At 51.1% G+C, this 21,604-nt stretch overlaps 2 long non-coding RNA genes across 2 annotated transcripts in view, besides 1 other annotated feature; one reads left to right on the forward strand and one right to left on the reverse strand.

Annotated features, from left to right (window-relative positions):
• CACNG2-DT (CACNG2 divergent transcript) overlaps positions 1 to 21,604 on the forward strand; it is a 63,214-nt gene that overhangs the window by 21,954 nt on the left and 19,656 nt on the right. The window lies entirely within an intron of this gene.
• Positions 107 to 607: an enhancer, noted in NCBI's record as "H3K4me1 hESC enhancer chr22:37121981-37122481 (GRCh37/hg19 assembly coordinates)". NCBI's record gives its function as "activates a minimal SCP1, AML or CMV promoter by ChIP-STARR-seq in primed H9 embryonic stem cells {active_cell/tissue: H9 hESC(primed)}" and the evidence as "EXISTENCE:reporter gene assay evidence [ECO:0000049][PMID:30033119]".
• LOC124905112 (uncharacterized) lies at positions 18,346 to 20,512 on the reverse strand. Its single transcript, XR_007068090.1, has 3 exons — positions 20,350 to 20,512; positions 18,983 to 20,093; positions 18,346 to 18,772 (listed from the first exon to the last, which is right to left on the reverse strand). It is a non-coding gene; the product is annotated as an uncharacterized LOC124905112 (long non-coding RNA).

The raw sequence follows: 21,604 nt of genomic DNA on the forward strand, positions 1-21,604 counted from the left end.
GCGGTGGTGCGATTCTGGCTCGGCTCCGGTCCCCTCGGGCTCTACCTTCTTGTGCTCCCTCTGTGTCCTGCGGAAGATGAAGTCTTCCTGAACGAGGCTCGGGAATGCTGCCACTGTTCAATGAGCTAATGGTGAAATTGGAAACTCAAGGGCTGGAGGCAGAGAAAAAAAAAAAAAAAGACAAGCTTTGATTCACAGGCAGGAGAATGAGTGAATGGGGAAAATTCATCCTGCGGTCATCAGAGGAAATGCCTGGGTGGCACGTCCCTCGTCCTTCGAGCAAAGTCTCTCCTGGAGAGGGGAAGGTCATGCAGGTGGCAAGCTCAGTGGCCGGCGGTGGCTGAAGCTGGGACAGGGAGGCGAAGGAGTGGGCTTGGGGCAGACAGACCTGGGCTCCAATCCCAGCGCTGCTGCAATAGCCACCGTGCCACCCTCACCTGGGAAGCAGGGTGATGGTGGGTGTTACCTCAGGGGTCTCCTAAGCAGAGTAAGTTAGCTGGTAGAAGATGGGCACAAAATAGATGCTCACAAAATAAAAACCCCTGGAAGCTTCTCTAGTAGGCCAAAGTGGAGACAATCTACTGTCTCTTTAGAAGAGGGGTTAAAATCTGTCAGCTGCCTCCACTGGTCCTGAGTGAGTGATTGAGCCATTTCGACAGCCTCGGGTCTGATTTCTGGTGTTGGGGTAGTCAGCTGGAGTCATGACAAGGTTTCTAGAGGTAATCACATACATTACATTTAGAATGAGCCGCTGGGCCCACGAGATGAGCCACTGGGCCCAAGAGAGAGAGGGAAAGGGTAACACAACGATTTCCAGTTTGAGGTCAAACACCCTGGGTATGTCTTTGACGTCCCTTGGATCCCTGATTTTAGGAGTTGCAATTAAGGGAAACAAATACTGGTGACTGTGATTACCATGTGCTCCGCTTTGGTTTTAAAATGGTCGGATACATTCTTTTTTCCTTTTGAGACAGGGTCTCACTCTGTCACCCAGGCTGGAGTGCAATGGTGTGATCATAGCTCACTGCAGCCTCAACCTCCCAGGCTCAAGCGATCCTCCCACCTCAGCCTCCCAAGTAGCCAGGACTACAGGCATGCGCCACTATACCTGGCTAATTTATTTTTATTTTTGTAGAGATGGGGGTCTTGCTAATGCTGCCCAGGTTGGTCTCGAACTCCTGGCTTCAAGTGATCCTCCTGCCTCGGCCTCACAATGCTTTATCTCCTTCTATCCTATCCCTGCAACACTGCTGACAGAAATGCCAGCATCCCTTCCATTTGACAGGTGAGCAAACTGAGGCCTGGGAGCAGTTGGCTTTCCCAAGGTCACATGGCTTAAGGCACAGTGATCCCGGGACTCAGACCCGAAGGGAGCTCCCTTAGCCTCTAGGTAATCACACACATGTCTAGCAGGTCACCACAGGCATTCTCATATGGTCTTTTTCATTTCTTCACATGGACTCATTGAGCTGGGTGTTATGATCGCTGCAGGTGAGGACGCAGGGATCTGTGGGACAGAGACTTGTCCCGGGTCACACGGCTTGCAGATGACAGCACTTGGCCTCCAGTCTGGAGCTCCTGCCTCCAGCTCCTCGGTGCCTTCTCATACTCCATCTTAATTTGGGAGGAAATGGAATCACCTGGGAGAAGGGGAGGAATGAAATTAGAATGTTAGCAGAAGAATGTTGTTGTGCCTTGAACAGTTTTAGAATTTCCTCCCAGATCCTTCAGACCGGTGAACTCACCTGCAAACACACTTTGTGATAGGAAGGCAATAGGCTGCAGCGAGAAAGTCTCCAACTCACCCGTTTTTTTGTTTAAACTTCAGGTTCCCAAATTAATAGAGGCTTCCTCTGTGTGCTAGGAGGATGCCAAGCAAGCTTCCCAGCCTGGAACTGGGAGATAATAGTAATTAATGGAGCCAGTTTGGGTGAGGAACCTCAGCTTGTGAGGTAAACAGGAAAAGATTCTGTTCTGTTTTATTATTTTTTTCTAATAACTGCTCCCCTGTGCTCTGCTGAGCTTCGTTTTTCTTGCTGGGTAGCTGGTTTCCTCTAGGACACTTCATTCTGTAACTTTCCAGTCACTTTTAGTTATTAAAAATAACAATCTCATTTTGGTTACTAAGACTCAATCCTGTTCATTTTGAAATGGCAATCTCATATGAAACTGGGAGCTTCCCTCTGGGGTATATGTGTGTGCCTGTGCCTGTGTGGGCATGTTCATATGTGTATGTGTGCCCGTATGTGTGGGTAGTGTGTGCATGTACATGTGTGCATGCATGTGTGTGTGTCCATGTGTGTGCATGTGTGTGTGGACATGTACATATGTGTATGTGTGCCTGTGCATGTGTGGGCAGTGTGTGCATGTACATGTGTGCATGCGTGTGTGTGCATGTGTGCGTATGGGCATGTACGTATGCGTATGTGTACATATGTTTGTGTGGGCTCATGTGCATGTACATGTGTGCATGTATGTGTGCATGTGTATGTGTGCGTACATATGTGTATGTGTGCATGTGCTTGTGTAGGCAGTGTGTGCTTAGGTGTATGCACGTGTGAGCAGTGTATGCATGTATATGTGTGCATGCATGTGTGGTTCTTGGGATCTTGGAAAACGCAGCTCTGGCTCAAATTCTCCCTTTTTATCCCAATTATCTGAGGCAAGCGGGACAGTTCTGGCTCCCAGAGCCCCTGATCTTGATAGCAAGGTGGACCTTGGCTTAAGTCCATACCACCTACTGTGATGTCCACCCAAGCCACAGGAAACCTGTGAGTCCTTGCTACACCAGAGAGCGGCCACCCTTCTCTCTGCCCTGCCATCTCCACTGTTGCTTTCTCCATGCACCATGGGGTTGTTGAAACCTGGTGGCTCAGGGTGCATTGCAGGCTTAATGGCTCAGAGTGGTTGGAGACATGCTCATGGTGCCTGACCTGGGGAGGGGCAGGTGAGATTAGGTGTCGGGCGCTCCTGGGCTCATAGAAAGGCAGCGGGGCACTCTGCCTGCTTCCCTCAACACCTCTCTTGCATCTCTCCCTGGTAAATGCTGCCCTATCGTTTGGTGTCTCTTGTCACTGGAGCTATAGAAAATCCTAGGACTCCAAGAATGACACCTTCTTTGAGATGGCTCTGGAGGATTTAGTAACTTTGTTCTTCCCAGTGAAATTTTGGAGCCCCTTCAGAGCCCTTTAAGAGGGAAGCTGGGGTAGGAGGAGCCCCCAGGACCTCCTGGCATCCTGTTACACGCAGTCCTATTCACAGAGCCCCCGGACAGTGCCTTCTCAGGACACTCACAGCAGGTTTCATTATCCTCATTTTACAGATGAGGAAACGAAGGCTCAGACACAAAAGAACTTGTCCAAGTTTACATGGGCAGCTAGTGGCAGAATCGGGATTTGGATCTGGGTCTGCTTGTCTTCAGAGACCCAGGAGTCACGGATGTTTGTTATTTAGGGTCACCCAGAGTCTATTCCTCCTCCTTCTGGTTCCAGCACCCTAATGTCTTTTAGAGCCATCGCTTCTTCCTCATCGGGTGCAGTCTTGGGGCCCAGTCCATTAAGGCTTCCTGCCCTCCCTTAGACACTGACCTAAACTGAGCTCATCAGACCCTCTGTCCTGGACCCTGAGCCAGGAACAGACAGCAACAGGGACAAGCACCCCATCCCCAAAGAGAGAGAAGCAAACAGCAAAGAGCAGTCATTCCAGCCCTGGACCGACGAGGCCATCGAGTAGCTCCAGCTTCCCAGGCTTGGGAGCTGCTGCAGTTCCTGCCCATTTTCAGGTCCTCGTTTTCAGATCCCATGCGGTGGACTAGCCAATATCCTCCAAATAAAACCCCCCACCCCTATTTTATCTATCTATCTATCTATCTATCTATCTATCTATCTATCTATTTATTTATTTATAGATGGGAAGTTTTGCTCTATTGCCCAGGCTGGAGTGCAGTGACGTGATCATAGCTCACTCCTACCTCAAACTCCTGGGCTCAAGCAATCTTCCTGCCTCAGCCCTCCTGAGTAGCTGGGACTACAAGCATGCACCACCATAGCCAGCTAATTAAAAAACTTTTTTTTTAAATGTTGCCCAGGCTGGTCTTGAATTCCTGGCCTCAAGTGATCCTCCCACCTCGGCCTCCCAAATTGTTGGGATTACAGGTGTGAGCCACCGCACCCGGCCTCCCTATTTTATTTGCTTTAGTCAGCCACAGTTGGTTTCCATTGTTTGTAATCAAATAATCCTCTCTGGTACCCTAAGCATGGTGTTGGGGGACCCTGCTCTTTGCCTGCTGGGAACCCCTTTGTTCTCTGTGTATTGATGAATTATGACATTTAAGGCACTTAGAACAGGGCCTGGCTCTCAACAAATGACTCTGCCATTCTTATTACTCTTCTCGTCTTGGGCTCCAGTTCACGTCGGGGTCCAGGCTGGGGTGTGTGGCCAGGTCTGGCCCTCCCAGGCCTTGGGGCTGTTGGGATCCCCATGAAGCCTGAGCTCACAGGTCTGGGTTCGGTTCCTACCAGGCAGATGCTCGTGCGGCGTCAGATGGGCGCTCACCACAGCTGGCATTAATTGACCATGTGACCAGCTGGCAGCTGCTGCCTGTGCTGTGTTCCAGGGGCCCCAGCCAGGAAGGGCTGGACTCGCCATCCTCCCCAACTGGTGTTATGAAGTATGAAGATCGTTATCGTTCTGAGCACCTACTACGTGCCCGGCCCTTTAACGATAGTAAGGGCAATCCTAATCATAAAAGCCACAGCATCAAACATTGTCACTGTTTGTTTTTCCCAGCATTCTTATGGGGAGACTTGTGCCCATTTTATGGACGAGTAAATTGAGGCCGAGGGACGTTGCTGGGAAAACATGGAAGGTGCTTGGGTTCAACTTGGTGTCTCAACTTCAGCAGTGGCACTGGCTGGTTTCTTTAGATTTACTTCAAGGTAAACACGAAAGTATTTGATTTTCCAAGACAGCACAGCTTGATCGACATGAGAAACACACACAGTCCTCCTATTAATATGGCTTTGATGGTGCTCTTTACAAAATATTCCTGACTCTATTATATTACAGGGCCTTCACCTCCTCCTCCCTGTGTCATGTCTAGATCCTTGGGGACAAATGGGAACATCCTCACGCATGCTGGCTACACATCAATAACTCCCAGATTTCTGTTTTTTTGTTTGTTTGTGGGTTTTTTTTGTTTGTTTTTTGTTTTTTTTTATTTTTTTTTATTTTTTTTTTTTTTTTTGAGACGGAGTCTCGCTCTGTCGCCCAGGCTGGAGTGCAGTGGCGCGATCTCGGCTCACTGCAAGCTCCGCCTCCCGGGTTCACGCCATTCTCCTGCCTCAGCCTCCCGAGTAGCTGGGACTACAGGTGTTTTTTGTTTTTTTGAGACAGAGTTTCATTCTTGTCTCCCAAACTGGAGTGCAATGGCGCAATCTCAGGTCACTGCCACCTCTGCCTCCCGGGTTCAAGTGATTCTCCTGCCTCAGCCCTCCAAGTAGTAGGACTACAGGCATGCGCCACCATGCCCGGCTAATTTTTGTATTGTTAGTAGAGATGGGGTTTCACCATGTTGGCCAGGCTGGTTTTGAACTCCTAACCTCAAATGATCCGACCGCCTCGGCCTCTCAAACTGCTGGGATTACAGGCATGAGCCACTGTGCCCTGCCAACTCCCTGATTTCTATCTCCAGTACAGCTGGCTTCTGCATCCTAGACTGGCTTCTCCAACAGCCTTCTTGACACCTCACAGGGATGGCTGGAAGACACCTCAAGCCCCACACATCCATACTCTTGGGCTCCCTCACTCCCCGACCCTGCTACTCAAGCAACTTCCTTCACCTCACAGGCTGGCAACTCCATCCTCCTCATGCTCAGTCCAAAGCCCTGCAGTCATCCCTGGCTTCCTCTCTTTCTCTCTTGCCCACATCTCATCCATTTGGAAATCATGCATGGGTCAGGAATTGATCCCCTCTTTCCCTTCTACCACCTCCACCCTAGTCTGAGCCACCATCCTTTCTTGCCTGGATTACCCCATTATCTTCCTACCCTGCTCCCAGCTCCTACACTGGCCCCACCTTCATCCCTTCCCAACACAGAGACTGGATGATCCTTTGAAGACAGGAGTCAGACTGTGTCCCCTATCTGCTCAAGCCTAGGTTGTGACTTCCATTTTGCTCAGGGTAAAAGCCAAAGGTATAAGGGCCCCCAGGACCCTCCTGATCTGGACTCAGGTCCCACAGCTCTCTCCTGCCTGCTCTGCTCAGCCACACTGGTCCCTTGCAGTCACCCCCCACGCCAGGCTGGCTCTTGCCGCAGGGCCTTTGCACCAGCCGCTCCCTCCTCCCTCTTGCTACGCACATGGCTCACTTCCTTATCTCCTGCGAGTCTGCTCAGTGAGCTTCTTCTTCCCTGACCACACTAAGGTTGAATTGTCCACACCTCACACCCCATGCCCCTCCTCTCCCTCATGCTGTCTTACTTTTTCTTTGTTTCATACCAAGTATCACCTTCTGATACCCTTATTGAAGGATTTCACTTAAGTATCTACTTTAGGAGAATTTGCTGAAGGCGATTTATGATTGCTGGTTTTTGTCTGACTTATATCAGCTCCCCCAGGGTGAAACTCTTTGCCTGTTTTGTTCCCCACATGTCACAAGCTTCTGGAGCACTGCCTTGCACGCAGTGGACACCCTGTGGATGAATCCCCAGTAGTTTTCCTTGGATCCTCAAATTTCTCCCTGACACTGGAGCCACAGAGCATCATTTCATGCCCTTGTACACAGTATCATTAGAGTCTGCAGAAAACAAAAATGACCCTGCAGTGTAAGCTGTTGGCTCGGCTGCTGTTCTCACCTTTGGGCTCCACCCATGCCAAAGCCCTTATAGGCTCCTGCTCTGTCACACCTCAGGGCCTTTGCACATGCTGTGCCTTTTTCTGCCCAGTGGACTCTTGGGTGTCATTCAAAGCCCTGCTAAGGTGTTGCCTCTTCCCTGAGGCCCTCCAGGACACTCCCACCCTCCTCAGTCCTGGGAAACACTTAATCCCTTCTTCCTTTCCTGCAGTGACATACCTATGGCATTTCTCAGTGTATGGGTCCCAGTGTCCCCCTGGGTCATGGCTCTGTGTCCATTGCACCATCAGACTGTGAGCTCCTTGAGGGCAGAGGCTTGGCTCTTGCTCTGTATCCTGAGCCTGGGGCTTGGCACAGGGCAGGTGCCCAGTCAGTGTTTGTTGGGGAAGACAGAGTAAATCTGACACAAGCCAGGAGAGAACAAAGACAGTTGTGAAGACCCTTTCAAGGTCACTGGCTGGCGGGGAATGAACACTGTCTTATTATTTGATCATTTATTTATACTCTATTTTCAAATAGGATTTGAGACAGGCTGAGATGAAAAGCATAGATAGGGCAAAAATGAAGCCCTGCGTCTTGAGTGCCTCCTCCTCCTCCTCCTGGCTCTTCCTCCCTGGCTATAAACATGCCCCAGACTCTGTCTTCTTAAAAGAAGTGCCCTAAACCCTCCAGCAGCTCTATGGCCCTCTGCAGCCCAGGCTTTCAAACCAGGCCTGCAGCCATTGTCTATCCTCAGACCCACTTTCTGAAGCTGGAGTCATCTTATTTCTGCCCCATCCCCCCAGTAAACCCATCTTAGCCGGGGCACCGGGTACTTCTATGTTACTAATACAATGGACACATTCAGATCTAAGTCACTGGAGTTCTGGGTAGCCTTGGGCATTTTGACCCCTCTTCCCTTCTCCAACCCCCTGTTTACCTTGGCTGATGTGACGCCACACTCTTGGGGTCCCTACCAACTCTCTGTTTTCTCCTTCCCACCTCCTGTCCTCTGCTCATCCCATAAACATCTATGAGCCTCGGGACTCCTTCCCTCATCCCTTCTCTAGTCACCCTACACACTTTTCCTGAGCAATTCTCTTTTCATTCTGCAGTTACCACCAGGACTAGTTTGGGTAATTCTAGAAACAGATAAACCCCCAAAGCTCAGTGGCTTAACACAGTACAAATTTCTCTCTCCCTTACACAAAGTCCATTCAGTAGCAAGAAGAGAGAAGGGGGCTTGGCTCCCTCTGGTCATCAAGGGATGCAGGCTCAATTCACTTGGCCGTCATTGACCCTGAATCTGTGCGCACATTGGACAAGAGCAGGGTTGGGGGAGCCTGTCCACTTACCATCCTATCACCGGGGAATAGTCACCCTACCTCTCTGAGCATCCTTTTCTTCATCTGTCCAGAGGAAGAGCATGCCACCCACCTTGAGACTCTGTTGTGAGGCCCCATGAGAGCACAGACAAATGACGATGCTGACAAGGGAGTTCTAGGTGGGCAGGGACAGGCTTCTTTCTCTCGCATTTCCTGAGCCAGGAAACACCTGCCAGTTGGCTGAACCCAGGAGTTGGGGATGTGGCTAGAAGGAGACGGAATCAGGCCCCATCGCAAGCCATGTTCTCAGGGAGGCCTTGCTGCTGGGGACTGTGCAGGGACATCCCGGCCAGAAGGCAGCTGTGTGACTGGATCCTCCTACATAAATTCGTGGCCAGAGCATGGGAACTCACCCAGAGAACTGACTCAGCCTTCTGGCTGGCTCTCAGAGCCTGTGCTGGGGCTGCAGCAGGGCTGATGGTCAAATCCATCACCCACAGTCAACTGCATGACAGTGGGCATATGTCACCAGCTCTCAAAGCCAGACAGGCTGGATCCTCTGTCCTCTTCAAAGGGAAGGAAGACTGACATTGATTGAGCACCTACTGTGTGCCAGACATTCTCTTAAGTGCTTTACATCTACCATTGTTTAAGTCTCACAGTAGCCCAGGAAGTGGGCAGCAGTCATCGTTCCCATCTCACAGGTTAGGAAACCAAGACTTAGGAAGCTTAAGATTTCAAAATTTCAATAAAAGCACAACAAGAAAGAGGAAGCCCAAAGCATGCACACTTCAAACGCCCAGTGGCTTATTTTTGAGCTCTCTCTTGACCCACTTCTTTAACTCTCCTAAGACCATATCACAGAAAGGAAGGAGGCAGGGCCTGGGAATTGGAACACCTGGGCTCACAGTCCACAGCCAGCACTTACTAAATGAGTCATGTTGTGCAAACCACTGTAACCTCTTGAAGACTCAGTTTTCTCATCTGTCGAATGGTCGTAATCACGCTGCTCTCCCAATGTCAAGGGAGAGGAATTCATAAACTGCCAAGAGCTCAACATTTTCTTTCCTTCCTTTTTTTTTTTTTTTTTTTTGATGGAGTTTTGCTCTTGTTGCCCAGGCTAGAGTGCAATGGCACAATCTCAGCTCACCACGACCTCTACCTCCCAGGTTCAAGTGATTCTCCTGCCTCAGCCTCCCGAGTAGCTGGGATTACAGGCATGCGCCACCACACCTGGCTAATTTTGTATTTTTAGTAGAGATGGGGTCTTGACATGTTGGCCAGGCTGGTCTTGAACTCCCATCCTCAGGTGATCTGCCCGCCTCGGCCTCCCAAAGTGCCAGGGTTACAGAGGTGAGTCTCACTCTGTCACCCAGACTAGAGTGCAGTGGTGCCATCATGACCCATTGCCACACTCGACTTACCAGCCTCAAGAGATCCCACCACCTTGGCCTCCTGAGTAGCTGGGACTCCAGGTGTGCACCACCATGCCCCGCTAATTTTTGAATTTTAATTTTTTTGTAGAGACAGTGTCTTGCTACATTGCCCAGCCTGGTCTCAAACTCCTGGGCTCAAATGATACTCCTGCCTTGGCCTCCCAAAGTGCTGAGAGACCCCCTTCTTTCCTTTTGCTACTGAATGGACTTTATGTAAGGGAGAGAGGAATTTGTACTGCGTTAAGCCACTGAGCTTTGGGGGTTTATCTGTTCCTAGAATTACCCAAACTAGTCCTGGCGGTAACTGCAATCATGGGCATGAAAAGAGAATTGCTCAGGAAAAGTGTGTTGGGTGAGTAGAGAAGGGGTGAGGAAAGGAGTCCCAAGGCTCACAGATGTTTATGGGATGAGCAGAGGATGGGAGGTGGGAGGGAGAAAACAGAGAGGTGGAAGGGACCTCAAGAGTCTGGTGTCCAGGAGAAGCAAAGAGTCCAGGAGCCACTGCACCTGGCCAGCATTTTCTCTGTTTAAGCTGCTGCAATCTCCCACTCAGATGCTCCTTAGGGGTCTTCTACGGCTTAATCTGTTCTGAAGCCTCTTCTCTGCACAGCAGCCAAGGAAGTTTTTGAAACAGAAATCAGATCACAGTACTTCCTTGCTTGAAACCCTTAAATGGGTTCACATGCATTCCTGACACCTTGTGTGAGCAAGCTCTCCCTATGTCTTGCCACCTGACCCTGTCCCTTAGCTTCTTTTCAGCCCCTGGCCACCTTTTCATCTTTTTGTCACCCTGTGCTTTTTTTTTTTTTTTTTTTTTGAGATGGAGTCTTGCACTGTTACCTGGGCTGGAGTACAATGGCACGATCTCGGCTCACTGCAACCTCCGCCTCCCAGATTCAAGTGATTCTCCTGCCTCAGTCTCCTGAGTAGCTGGGGTTGCAGGCGCCCACCACCACGCCTGGCTAATTTTTTATATTTTTAGTAGAGATGAGGTTTCACTGTGTTGGCCAGGCTGGTCTCGAACTCCTGACCTCGTGATCCGCCCACCTCGACCTCCCAAAGTGCTGGGATTACAGGTGGGAGCCACCGCGCCTGGCCCACTCTGTGATTTTTCTTGTTCCAAGTCCTATGCACATGCTTTCTACTCTGCTTGGAACATACCTCTCTCATGCTCTTCAACTGGGCAACACCTGTTTCTGCTTCAGATTGCATGAGAAATATCATTTTCTCAGAAATGCATCTTTCTGCTCCTCTAAATTAGGTTCCCTGGGTTTCCCTCCCACAGCATGCCATCTCTTTCACTCTGCATGATTTGCCATTGCATTTTTACTTGTTTGTTTTTTAATGTCTGTCTCCCTCTTAGAATGTAAGCTCCATGAGGGCAGGCACCATGTCTGCTCTGCTCACTGTCAAGTCCCCATCCCCAGCACAGTGCCTGGCACCAAAAGGGCACTCAACACTTTTAGTGGAACGAGCAGAGGTGTTTGCTGCTGTTTCCCCAGCATGCCTCATCCTGCCATTCCATTCTTGTGCTAGAAAGGGTGCAGCCCCAGGATCCAGTGTGTAGGAAGGAGAAGTGCCCTCGTGAGGGCCCCTCCTGTATTCCCAGGCCCCAAGGAGGTGCAGGAGGAGGGAGAGCCTCTTGCACCACCCGTCTGGTTCCAGAAGAGCAGCCGGCCTATCTCCCTCGCCTGCCACAGTCCCAACTTCCCCTAGACAGCACCGAGGCCACCTCTGCAAAAATGGGCCCCAGATGACAAGGTTCTCCTCTCACCGGGACCACTGGGACACAGCGCGACAACTGACCTATATTAATCACAAGTGCTATTAGCCGTCTTGGTCCCCTCCCAGCCAGCATCAAATCCCACCCTGCACAAGCACTTCCACCTATCCAAGGACGTTGTAAAAATAAAATGATCACAACCTGGCCCTCGGGGAGCCTCAGCCTTACAGTGTGTCCTGCTCCGAGGCGGACAACATTCACAACCCAGTTTGAGGAGGAGAAGCAGAGAGAAGGAGGTAAAAAGGAGGGAGGAATTTGTGGAGGGGAAGGGGGTAAGGCAGATACTCAAGAACTTGAAGGCATGAGGGCAGATGAGATGAGAAAGAGAGGGACAAAGTGGCAAAGAAGAGGAATGAGAGCAACACACGGAGAGAAGAAAAATTAGCAAAAGAGCCCAGGGGAGATATTAGGGAGCGGGACTAGAATTCTAACAAGAACAGTGGAAGCCTTATAAAGAACATTAAAGAGTCCCGGAAGGAAATTCGTTAAAAGGAGAAGAATGGGATGAAAGGAAGAAAATAAATGAAAAGCAAATAAAACTGATTCTTCTGCCTGCCCCCTAAATGAGATTGGGCTGTTTGCTGAAAATAGAAGCAGAGGAAGTGAAACAACCCAGGAATATACCAAGGCTGAAGGCTGGAGAGTTGGGAAGGAAGGGCTGACGGGTAAGACAGAAAGCAATTCAAGGCACACCCAAGTGACAGCTGGGGGCGGGGGCGGTTGGATGACGACTGGACCGGCCCTTGAAAACTGGTTGGTGTTCTTGCCTTGGGCCAGGCATGTCCAGCCCTCAGAGGCCCGGCTTTGAGGCAAGTTCTTTTCTAGACTCCACACCTGCCCTGCTCTGCCCTGCCCTGCCCTGCCCTGCCCTGCCCTGCCATGCCCTGCCCTGCTGGGAGTTTTCAGTCCTAGGAGGGTGGCTGCTGGTTGCTCAGGAGCAAACTGTTCCCCTAAGGCCCAGGTCAAACCCATTGACTCCATTGTCTCTCCTCTTCAACTGTGCCCTCAGAGGCTCTTGGACAGCCAAGGGTTCTGTCTGGGAATGTATAGTCTCTCCCGGGTCCATCCTGGAGATGCACATTTGGACAAATGCACATTTGGACATTTTGTCTCCAAATGTGCAGTAAAAAAAACTCAGTGCACTCAAAATTGCCATCCCTCTGTCTCCCTTCACTAATTCACTATTCAACAAGGTTTCACTGAGCACTTAGTATGTGCCAGGACTCCAGTGAATAAGACAAAGTCCCTGACCTGCAACACTTAGAGTTCTTCTTTCCTCCCATCTTTGCCTCCTTCCTTCTTTCTGGCTCATATTCACCCCTCCAGTGTATCAGTTATTCTTGCTGCATTGCAAACCACCCCAAACTTACTGGGTGCAAACCAACACCAATCATTTGTGATTACATCTCTCATGCATGGGGAGGTTGACTGAGCTCAGCCATGTAGTTCTCGCCAGGGTCTTTCACTCAGTCACGGTTAGATGGGGGCTGAGGGCTAGGGGCTGGGGCTGAAGCTGGTTTGAAGGCCTCCTCCCTCATGTGTCCGGGGGCTGGGAGCTCACCTGGAGCTGGCAGCTGAAACTCCTATGTGCCCATCACCATGTGTTCTGGGCTCCCTTACTGCATGGTGACTGGGTTCTAAGGGGCTGTGGTGCCTTTTCTGACCTACTGTCAGAAGTCACATAGCGTCGCTGCAGTTGTATTCTCTTAGGAGTACTGCTCGGCTCTCAGGCAGTCATAGAGATCCATCCAGGTTGAAGGGGAGGGGACACAGACCCCACCTCTTGATGGAGGACTGGCAGGGTCACTTGCAGGATGAGCATGTGGGAGCATCTTTGGAAAATACCATCTGCCGCAATTTGCCTTCTGGCCACAGCTATTCACGATGATTCATACCCACCCCTATTATGAGCTGAACTCTGTCTCCCCAAAAATTCATATGTTGAAGCCCTAATCCCAGTACCTTAGAATGTGACTGTATTTGAAGACAGGTTCATTAAAGAGGTGATTAAATGACAATGAGGTCATTATCATGGGCCCTAATCCAATATGACTGTTGTCCTTATTAAAAAAGACTGGGACACAGACACACACAGAAGCAAGACTGTGGGAAGACACAGGGAGGAAGCAGCCAACTCTAAGCCAGAGAGAGACCTCAGAAGAAACCAACCCTGCTGACACCTTGATCTTGGACTTCCAGCCTCCAGAACAGCAAGAGAATAAATTCCTGTTGGTTTAGCCACCCAGGCTGTAGAATTTTGCTATGGCAGTCCTAGCAGAGGAATACATGCCCCACATGCAAAACCTATTCATTCCTTTCCCTTGAGATCTGTATGGCAGCCGCTCAAAGGCCAGGAGCCAGCCAGGTGCAGGTGGGAATGCATCTCCTCAGGTGGCCTTTCTTGGGTACAGCTCCTTGAGTGCCACTTCATTCAATGGGAAGACCTGTGAGCTAAAGAAATGAGTTATCTGCCCTCCCCCTCCTACTCCACAATGGTGGTTCAGGCATAGGAAAACTATTAACACCATAGGCACCCCCAAACTAAAAGCGGAGGAGCAGGAGACACACAGGAGTCACTGGTCCAGAGCAATTCTGAAATCCATCCTGCTCAAGTCCCATCCTTCCTTCAGGACTTGATGAAATCCCTGCTGGCTCCCTGTGCAGAGAAGCAGCAGGACCCATCAGCAAGAGTGCAGGCTTTGAGGCCAAATAGTCCTGTGTTCAAATCCTGCTCTGTCAATAAGAGAAGCTAAAAAATGAACTATTATGGCACATATTGCCAGTTCCTGGAATAGTCCTCAGTCCAACTGCCTGGGAAAGATTCCCCACATGGCTCCTGACTCTGGCCTCTTGGTTCTTTCCTCTGGACCACCCTTGGGTTTCTGTAAGAAATGTCCAGTGTTTGCAGCTGAGCAGTTTTTCTTAACTTGCTTTCTGCCCATGAAGATTTTATGGTCCAAAATCTCTCTTTTCATTTGGTGCCCTCTCTAACCCTTTAATTCAAAGCCAAAACAGGCCCTTTAAAAATTGTGTAGGTTTCTTATCTTATGAGTCAATTTATAATCCCTTCCATTAGACAAAAGCCATATCCACAAATCTCTTTTTCACCTTGGGCTCTTGGCAAGGCTGCCTTTATGATTCTTAGAAGCTCTATTATTTAACAGAAAGGGTCTTCAACATATGCTGTTAAGATCCTTAGAAGGCCTTTGTCTGCTTGAAAAGGTCTATGAGGTACCACCTTAAGTCTTTCTAAGGTCTTAATAAAAGGCTTTATAGTTATGTCCTTGGATTCATCTTTAAACTATTTTCCTATTAATGACCCTGGCTTTAATCTTTGCCTGGAAGTCATTTCTTATTTTGGGAAGGAAGAAAGTTTTCAAGCCAAGGAAGTCTTGGTTCCTTTATATTTAATAGTTCATTTTTTAGCTTCTCTTATTGACAGAGCAGGATTTGAACACAGGACTATTTGGCCTCAAAGCCTGCACTCTTGCTGATGGGTCCTGTTGCTTCTCTGCACATGGAGCCAGCAGGGATTTCATCAAGTCCTGAAGGAAGGATGGGACTTGAGCAGGTAGAAGAAGGGAGGGCATGGCAGGCAGGGGTGCCACATGGATGAAGACACAGAAATGGTAGGAAATGCAAGGTGCATTAGGAGACAGAGGCAGCCAAGTGCACGATCCCTTTCCATCCCTCTCTCCCTTGTTTTGTCCTTCACACATTCGGTTCCTACTTCCACTCCCTTATAACCACTGTTTATGTCGTTTTGTAGCACAAGCCCTCTGATATCATCCACACTCCACTCCACCCTTCAATCGGTTGGATCACATGGGTTCCATCTTCCCTGAGAATGCCCTTCCTCATCTTGTCCACCTGGAGCATGACTTACTTATCTGTCAAGGCCCAAGATGACTGTCACCTCCTCTGTGACATTCCATATGAGTTGGGATATTCTAATGGTTATAACAACAATGCCAAATGCCTCAGTGTCTTAACACAAGAGTTTTAGTTCTCACTCAGTTGAATGAGAGTTGGCTGTGGTGAGGCAGGTGGGCTTTGCTCCCCAGTTACATGGGGGCTCATGTTCCTTCTGTCCAGTGGCCCCACCATCCTGTAGCACAGAAGTTTGCAAACAATGACCTGTTTTTGTAAATAAAGTTTTATTGAGACTCAGCCTCACTCATTCAGTTACACGGGCTGCTTTAGCACTTCGATGGTAGAGTTGAGTAGCTGCGACAGAGACTGTGTGGCCCAGAAAACAGAATATTTGCCCTCGAGTGTTTACAGAAGAGGTGTGCTGATACTTGCTCTGGGGTTGGTAAGTCTGGAAAGAGAGTGTGTGGAGGGTCCTTTGGGAGTGATGCTGCACATCACTTCCTCCCACACTCCATTGGTCACAGATGGTCACATGACCCCAGCAGGCTACAAGGAGGCTGGGAAATGTAGTCTTCCTGGATGCTCAGGAGGAAAATGAAGTAGGTCCCACAGACACATAGCTTTGTCTGTCCATTTACATCGTAAATAGCTACTTAGGCCGATCGTGGTGGCTCACGCCTGTAATCCCAACACTGTGGGAGGCTGAGGCAGGCAGATCACTTGAGTCCAGGAGTTTGAGACCAGCCTGGGCAACATGGCAAAACCCCATCTCTACGAAAATACAAAAAATTGGCTGGGTGTGATGGCACATGCCTGTAGTCCCAGCTACTCGAGAGGCTGAGGTGAGAGGGTCACCTAAGCCCAGGAGGTTGAAACTACAGTGAGCCAAGATCATATCAATGCACTCTAGCCTGGGTGACAGAGTGAAACCCCTGAGATGGGGGTAAAAATTTTTTTTTTTAAAGCTACTTAGTTCACAATGGCTGTAGTCTAGAATTCACCTCTTTGTGTTCTTTTCAGTTTGTGCCTGTTCCCCCACTGATCCTCAGATTCCTCTCTCTCCACTCCACCAGTGCCTGGTCCAGCTCTCCCTGCGTGCTGACACTGGGCTCCTCCCCAGACACGTCTTTGTTAACAAAACAGACTTAGCCTGTGCCCTCATGGAGCTCCTGGTCCAGCAGGAGCGACAGGCAACAAGCAAATCATCACAGCCAGCCATGGAAATGTGGCAACTGCGATGATGAAATGCTCCGAGAGAAAAGGGGCAGAGGCCAGGTGCGGTGGTTCACGCCTGTAATCCCAGCACTTTGGGAGGCCAAGGCGGGCAGATCACTTGAGGTCAGGAGTTTGAGACCAGCCTGACCAACATGGTGAAACTCCGTCTCTACTAAAACTACAAAAATTAGCCGGGCTTGGTGGCAGGCGACTGTAATCCCAGCTATTTGAGAGGCTGAGGCAGGAGAATTGCTTGAACCCGGGAGGCGGAGGTTGCAGTGAGCCAAGATTTCGCCACTGCACTCCAGCCTGGGTGACAGAGCGAGACTCTGTCTCACACAAAAAAAAAAAAAAAAAAAGAAAGAAAGAAAGAAAAAGAAAAAGAAAAGGGGCAGAGTCAGAGCTCTGAGCACATCTAAGCGGGAGGGACCTGATTTAAACCAGTGGTGCCAGGAATGCTTCCCGGAAGAGGTGACATTTAGGCTGTGAGCTGAAGAATAACTCATTCACCAGGTGGAGAGAAGCTGGGCAGAGGAGGGACAGGCAGGGGGAACAGCCTGGGCAAGGGCCCTGAGGAGGGAGGAAACATAATGACTTAATCCTTAATCATCACAGGCCCTTATTATTATTAATTATAATCCAGCTGAGGCTCAATGAATACTTACTATGTGCCAGACAGCGTGGTAAGCACTATAATTTGCACAGCACTGTTGAGAGCGAAGCTAACAAAAGCAGAGGCTATTAATGTCCTGCCCATGTTCCTTCAGCCCAACCCAGGGGCACCCTGAAGACAGTTCTCTGCTTGCTGCCAGCATCTTGGGTCACTCTGCAGGCCTGAGAGGCTCAGGATGGGAGTGCTGGGAGTTGTTGCTTCCCCTCACCAATGACGGATGGGAGCTGGAGTGTAAATACCCCAGCTTCCTTGCCCCACGGCTGGCAGATCTGAGGTGTCTCCTGCTAATGCTGCCTCTCAGAGGCCCTCAGGCGATAGAGGCCCTGTTGCTTGCAGGGGTACCCCCAGAGCAGTGCACAGTTTGTTGGCTTTTTTTGGTCCATCCCTGTCTCACTTCTCCACCCCTCCATGCTACTTTTGGGGCAACCTCCAAGAGAAACTACTTGTCCCTGAACACTTATCTCAGGGTCTGTCTTTGGAGGAAACAAAACTAAGAAACTATTAAGTATCCCATTTGCTGGATGAAGGAACTGAGGCGCAAAGAAGTTAACACAGAGTAGCCAGGAAAAACAAAACTGAAGGAAGGTCTTTGAAATGAAAGTGCCAAAAATGCGTGTGTGTGTGTGTGTGTGTGTGTGACACAGACAGCCAGGAGATGGCGGTGGGGGTAGTGAGGCGAGATGAGCCTGGTGAGGTGCGTGCACACCAGGGCAAGGATTTGGGTCACTAACTAGGGGCACGGGAGGCCTCTGAAGGCTTTAGACAGGCAGGGTGACATGTTATGACGTGAGAACACAGGCACCCTGGAGACCTAGGCGAACCTGGATTAAAAGGGTCCAAGCAGATGTAAGGAGGTGATTAGGAGGCTTCGGTGGTCATTCTAGGGGGCCCTGGGGACCTGCCGGGCAGGGGCCACTGAGCTCTTCGTGATCTCCAGAGCCCTGGGGTCCACATGCAGACCAGGACACAGTGTGTGTCCTAAGGAGGACATGCACTGCCTGCCTCTGTCCCTCCCCTCCCCAAACCCCTTCCCCTTCCTCTTAGGTCATGGAGACCCTCCATACTCCCACCTCAGGGTCTCTGGCCTGGGGACAGTGTGGGCTGGGGAGCCAGGCACCCCTGCAGCCTGGCCAGGCTGGGAGCTGCAGCAAGAAGGCCAGCCAGACCTCCTGACCAGCAGCCGGCCAGGCCCCAGAGGCGAGCACGTGTCTGGGCGGGTGCCACTGTCTGCCCCAGTGCCCTGAGCTCGCCGCACTGCCGAGCAGATGGCCTTGTAAGTGAGTGCGATCAGAACAGGGTCAGGAGGGTCTGCTGGTCCTACCTTCTCCTCCACCTCTGCTGGGTTCCACTGCCTTGGCCGCTGTCCTGGAGGTGTTGACCAGCTTGGCTGGCCAGGGGCGCCGTGCAGTCAGGTGTGGCAAACTGTGGTGTGATATGACCCAGGCGTCCAGTCATGCAGGGTGCAGGGGACACGGATCCTGGGGGCTCTGGTGAAGCTGAGGCAGGACTGGAGTGGGGGAAAGTGGTAGGAGAGTGGCAAGGGGCATTGGCCACCCTGCAGTCACCTCGGGGAGCTCCTGACTGCACGTTGAGCCCCTGAGTGTGTGGCTTGAGGTGTCGGCAGGACTGGTGTCCCTAGGGAGGAGCAGAAGGGAACTGGAATTTGCTGGGGGCTTACTATGTGCCTGGTCTTCAGTAGCTGCTTCCTTGGGTTATTACTGGCCCCTTGCCCCACTTCAGAAGCCCTCCCTCCACCCTTCTTGGGGGACTTTTTCTCCAACCCTCCAGGCTAGGGGTTCCAGCTCCCCCGGTTCACAGTGTTTATGACCTGGGTCTTCCTTTTACCCTGGGACAGGCCCTGAAGGACAGCAGTTTCTCTGCAGGCCTTTCCTCCAGCATCTCCAGCCACAGGGTCCTTCCCGGGCACCTGCTTGTCTGCTTGAGCTGCTTCTTTGTGAGCAAATGAATAAAGGTTCTATGCGAGTCCCACTCCCTGCATGCGAGAGTAATCAGCTTCACCTTTCTGAGCCTCAGCTTCCTCATCTGTAAAATGGGCAAAATCACTCCCACCGGCCGGGTGCGGTGGCTCACACCTGTAATCCCAGTACTTTGGGAGGCCGAGGCAGGCGGATCACCTGAAGTCAGGAGTTCGAGACCCTAACACGGTGAAACCCCGTCTCTACTAAAAGTACAAAAATTAGCCGGGCGCAGTGGCATGTGCCTGTAGTCCCAGCTACTCAGGAAGTTAAGGCAGGAGAATCACTTGAACCCAGGAGGTAGAGGTTGTAGTGAGCGGAGATCGTGCCACTGCACTCCAGCCTGGGCGACAGAGCAAGACTCTGTCTAAAAAAAAAACACACACACACACACACAAAACAAAAAACAAATCACTCCCACCTTGAAAGGTTGTTGCAAGGATTAAAGAAGATGAAGGAGGTGGAAGCCTGGCACAGAGGAAGTGCTGATCAGAGGCGCACTGCCAGCCATGTGGCTGGGGCAAGTCTCTGCACCTCTCTGAGCCTCCCTGCCTCAGCCCTAAAGTAGCCCTGCCCTGCACAAGGAAGGGAGGGAGAGAAGGGAAGCTGACATAGTGTGTGAGCTGCGAGGGTTGTGCACTGGGACAGCTTGGGCCTGTATCTTCCCATCCATGTGATTTGAGGTTTGGGTAGGTGAAGGCATCTCCCTGCTCCACCCAGCACTGGCAGTCCAGGGATCTTGGAGCCCCCCTGACCCACGTGGCTCTCCCTCCCTCCATTACTCACCTTTCTTTGGGCCTTTGCACTGCTTTTGCAACCCGGTAGGGGCTGGTGCCGGGCCCGTCTTGCATGAGGCCCCAAGGCTGCCCATGCTGTGTGGGGGAGGAGTGGGATCCCTACTTTACCTCAAGGCTCAGCCCTGGGCAACACCGCCATATCCTGGTGTCTGCCACTCTCTCGGGAGTTGGGAGTCCCAGAGGCTGCAAGAGAAGGGAACATGTGGCAACTCCAGAAGGGTGAGGACAGAGAAGGGGGCTCTGCTGAGAGCTCCTGCTGCAGGCTGGGGACTGCTGTAGCCACCCCCTCTGAAATGCAGTGAGAACAGCTGCCCTGGCCAGGCCCCCACTATGTGCTCGGCGTGCTCCTACGGCACGTCTCACCTTCACAGTGGCCCAGCAAGGGAGTAACAACCATCCCATTTTACAGATGGGGAAGCTGAGGTTCCAATAGACTCACCCAAGGTAATTCCCAAGTGTGTCTGGCTGCTTCCACCATTCCACGGGCTGCTGTTATCATAGAATCAATGTCAAGCTGGGCGCAGTGGCATGCACCTGTGATCTCAGCTACTCGGGAGGCTGAGGCAGGAGGACTGCTTGAGGTCAGGCGCTCAAGATCAGCCTGGGCAATATAGCGAGACTTGGTCTCTTAAAAAAAAAAAGCAAAAGAGAAAGAGAGAGAATCACTGGTCTTTTCTAACCTACCATTTTCCAGAGGGAGTGAGCCCCCAGGGAGTGGCTGGGTCATAACAACAGCAATGGTGGAGGGAGGACTCCCTCCTCCACCCCTCCCTTTTGGTCTTCTGCAGCTGTTTATGGACGTTCTCCTTGTGCAGGCGTTGTTCCCATCCTGAGTTCCAATCCGACTCTGGCTCACACCACATGCCTCCTAGGAGTGCCCATCACACGCCGGCCAAGGCGTGTGTGAGGTCCTCCCTGAAGGGTGGTGGACAGAGGTTCAAGCTAAAACACAGGTCTATCAGCCCAGCCGAGGAGGCCCTGGAGAGGCTGCTGGGGGGTCAGACAGCACAGGTTCCCCTCACCCCCCGCCCCAGGCCAGTCCTGCACCTCGCTGAGCCTTGGTGCTCTGTAACTGTCTCATGAGTGAAGGCATGAATGAGGGAAACCGTGAGGACACCCAATCCCTTAACTCCAACTCCAAAATTACATCACCCCCTCCCTCAACCAACACCCTTCAGCGGCCTCCCCCTGCACATCAGGTAACTCCCAAGCTCTGGCTGGGCTTCTGATGCCTCTTCTTATTTATTTTATTAGTTTATTTTATTTATTTTATTTTTTGAGATGGAGTCTTACCCTGTCACCCAGGCTGGACTGCAGTGGCGTAATTCCGGCTCACTGCAACCTCCACCTCCCAGGTTCAAGCAATTCTCCTGCCTCAGCTTCCCAAGTAGCTAGGATTACAGACGCCCGCCACCGCGCCCAACTAATTTTTGTGTTTTTAGTAGAGTTGGAGTTTCACCATGTTGGCCAAGTTGGTCTTGAACTCTTGACCTCCAGTGATCCACCCGCCTCAGCCTCCCAAAGTGCTGGGATTACAGGTGTGAGCCACTGCGCTCGGCTGGAAACTCTTTTCCCCGTGCTCCCTTCACTCAGTGCCCAGGAGTTCTGGCCTTTTGTGGGCCAACCTCCTCTGCCGCAGGACCCTCAAACATGCTATTTCCTCTGGCTAATGTACAACTCCCCGTTCACTGCCT

The sequence above is a fragment of the Homo sapiens genome, chromosome 22 (genome assembly GCF_000001405.40).
Source record: "Homo sapiens chromosome 22, GRCh38.p14 Primary Assembly".
In the NCBI taxonomy this organism is placed as follows: Eukaryota; Metazoa; Chordata; class Mammalia; order Primates; family Hominidae; genus Homo; species Homo sapiens.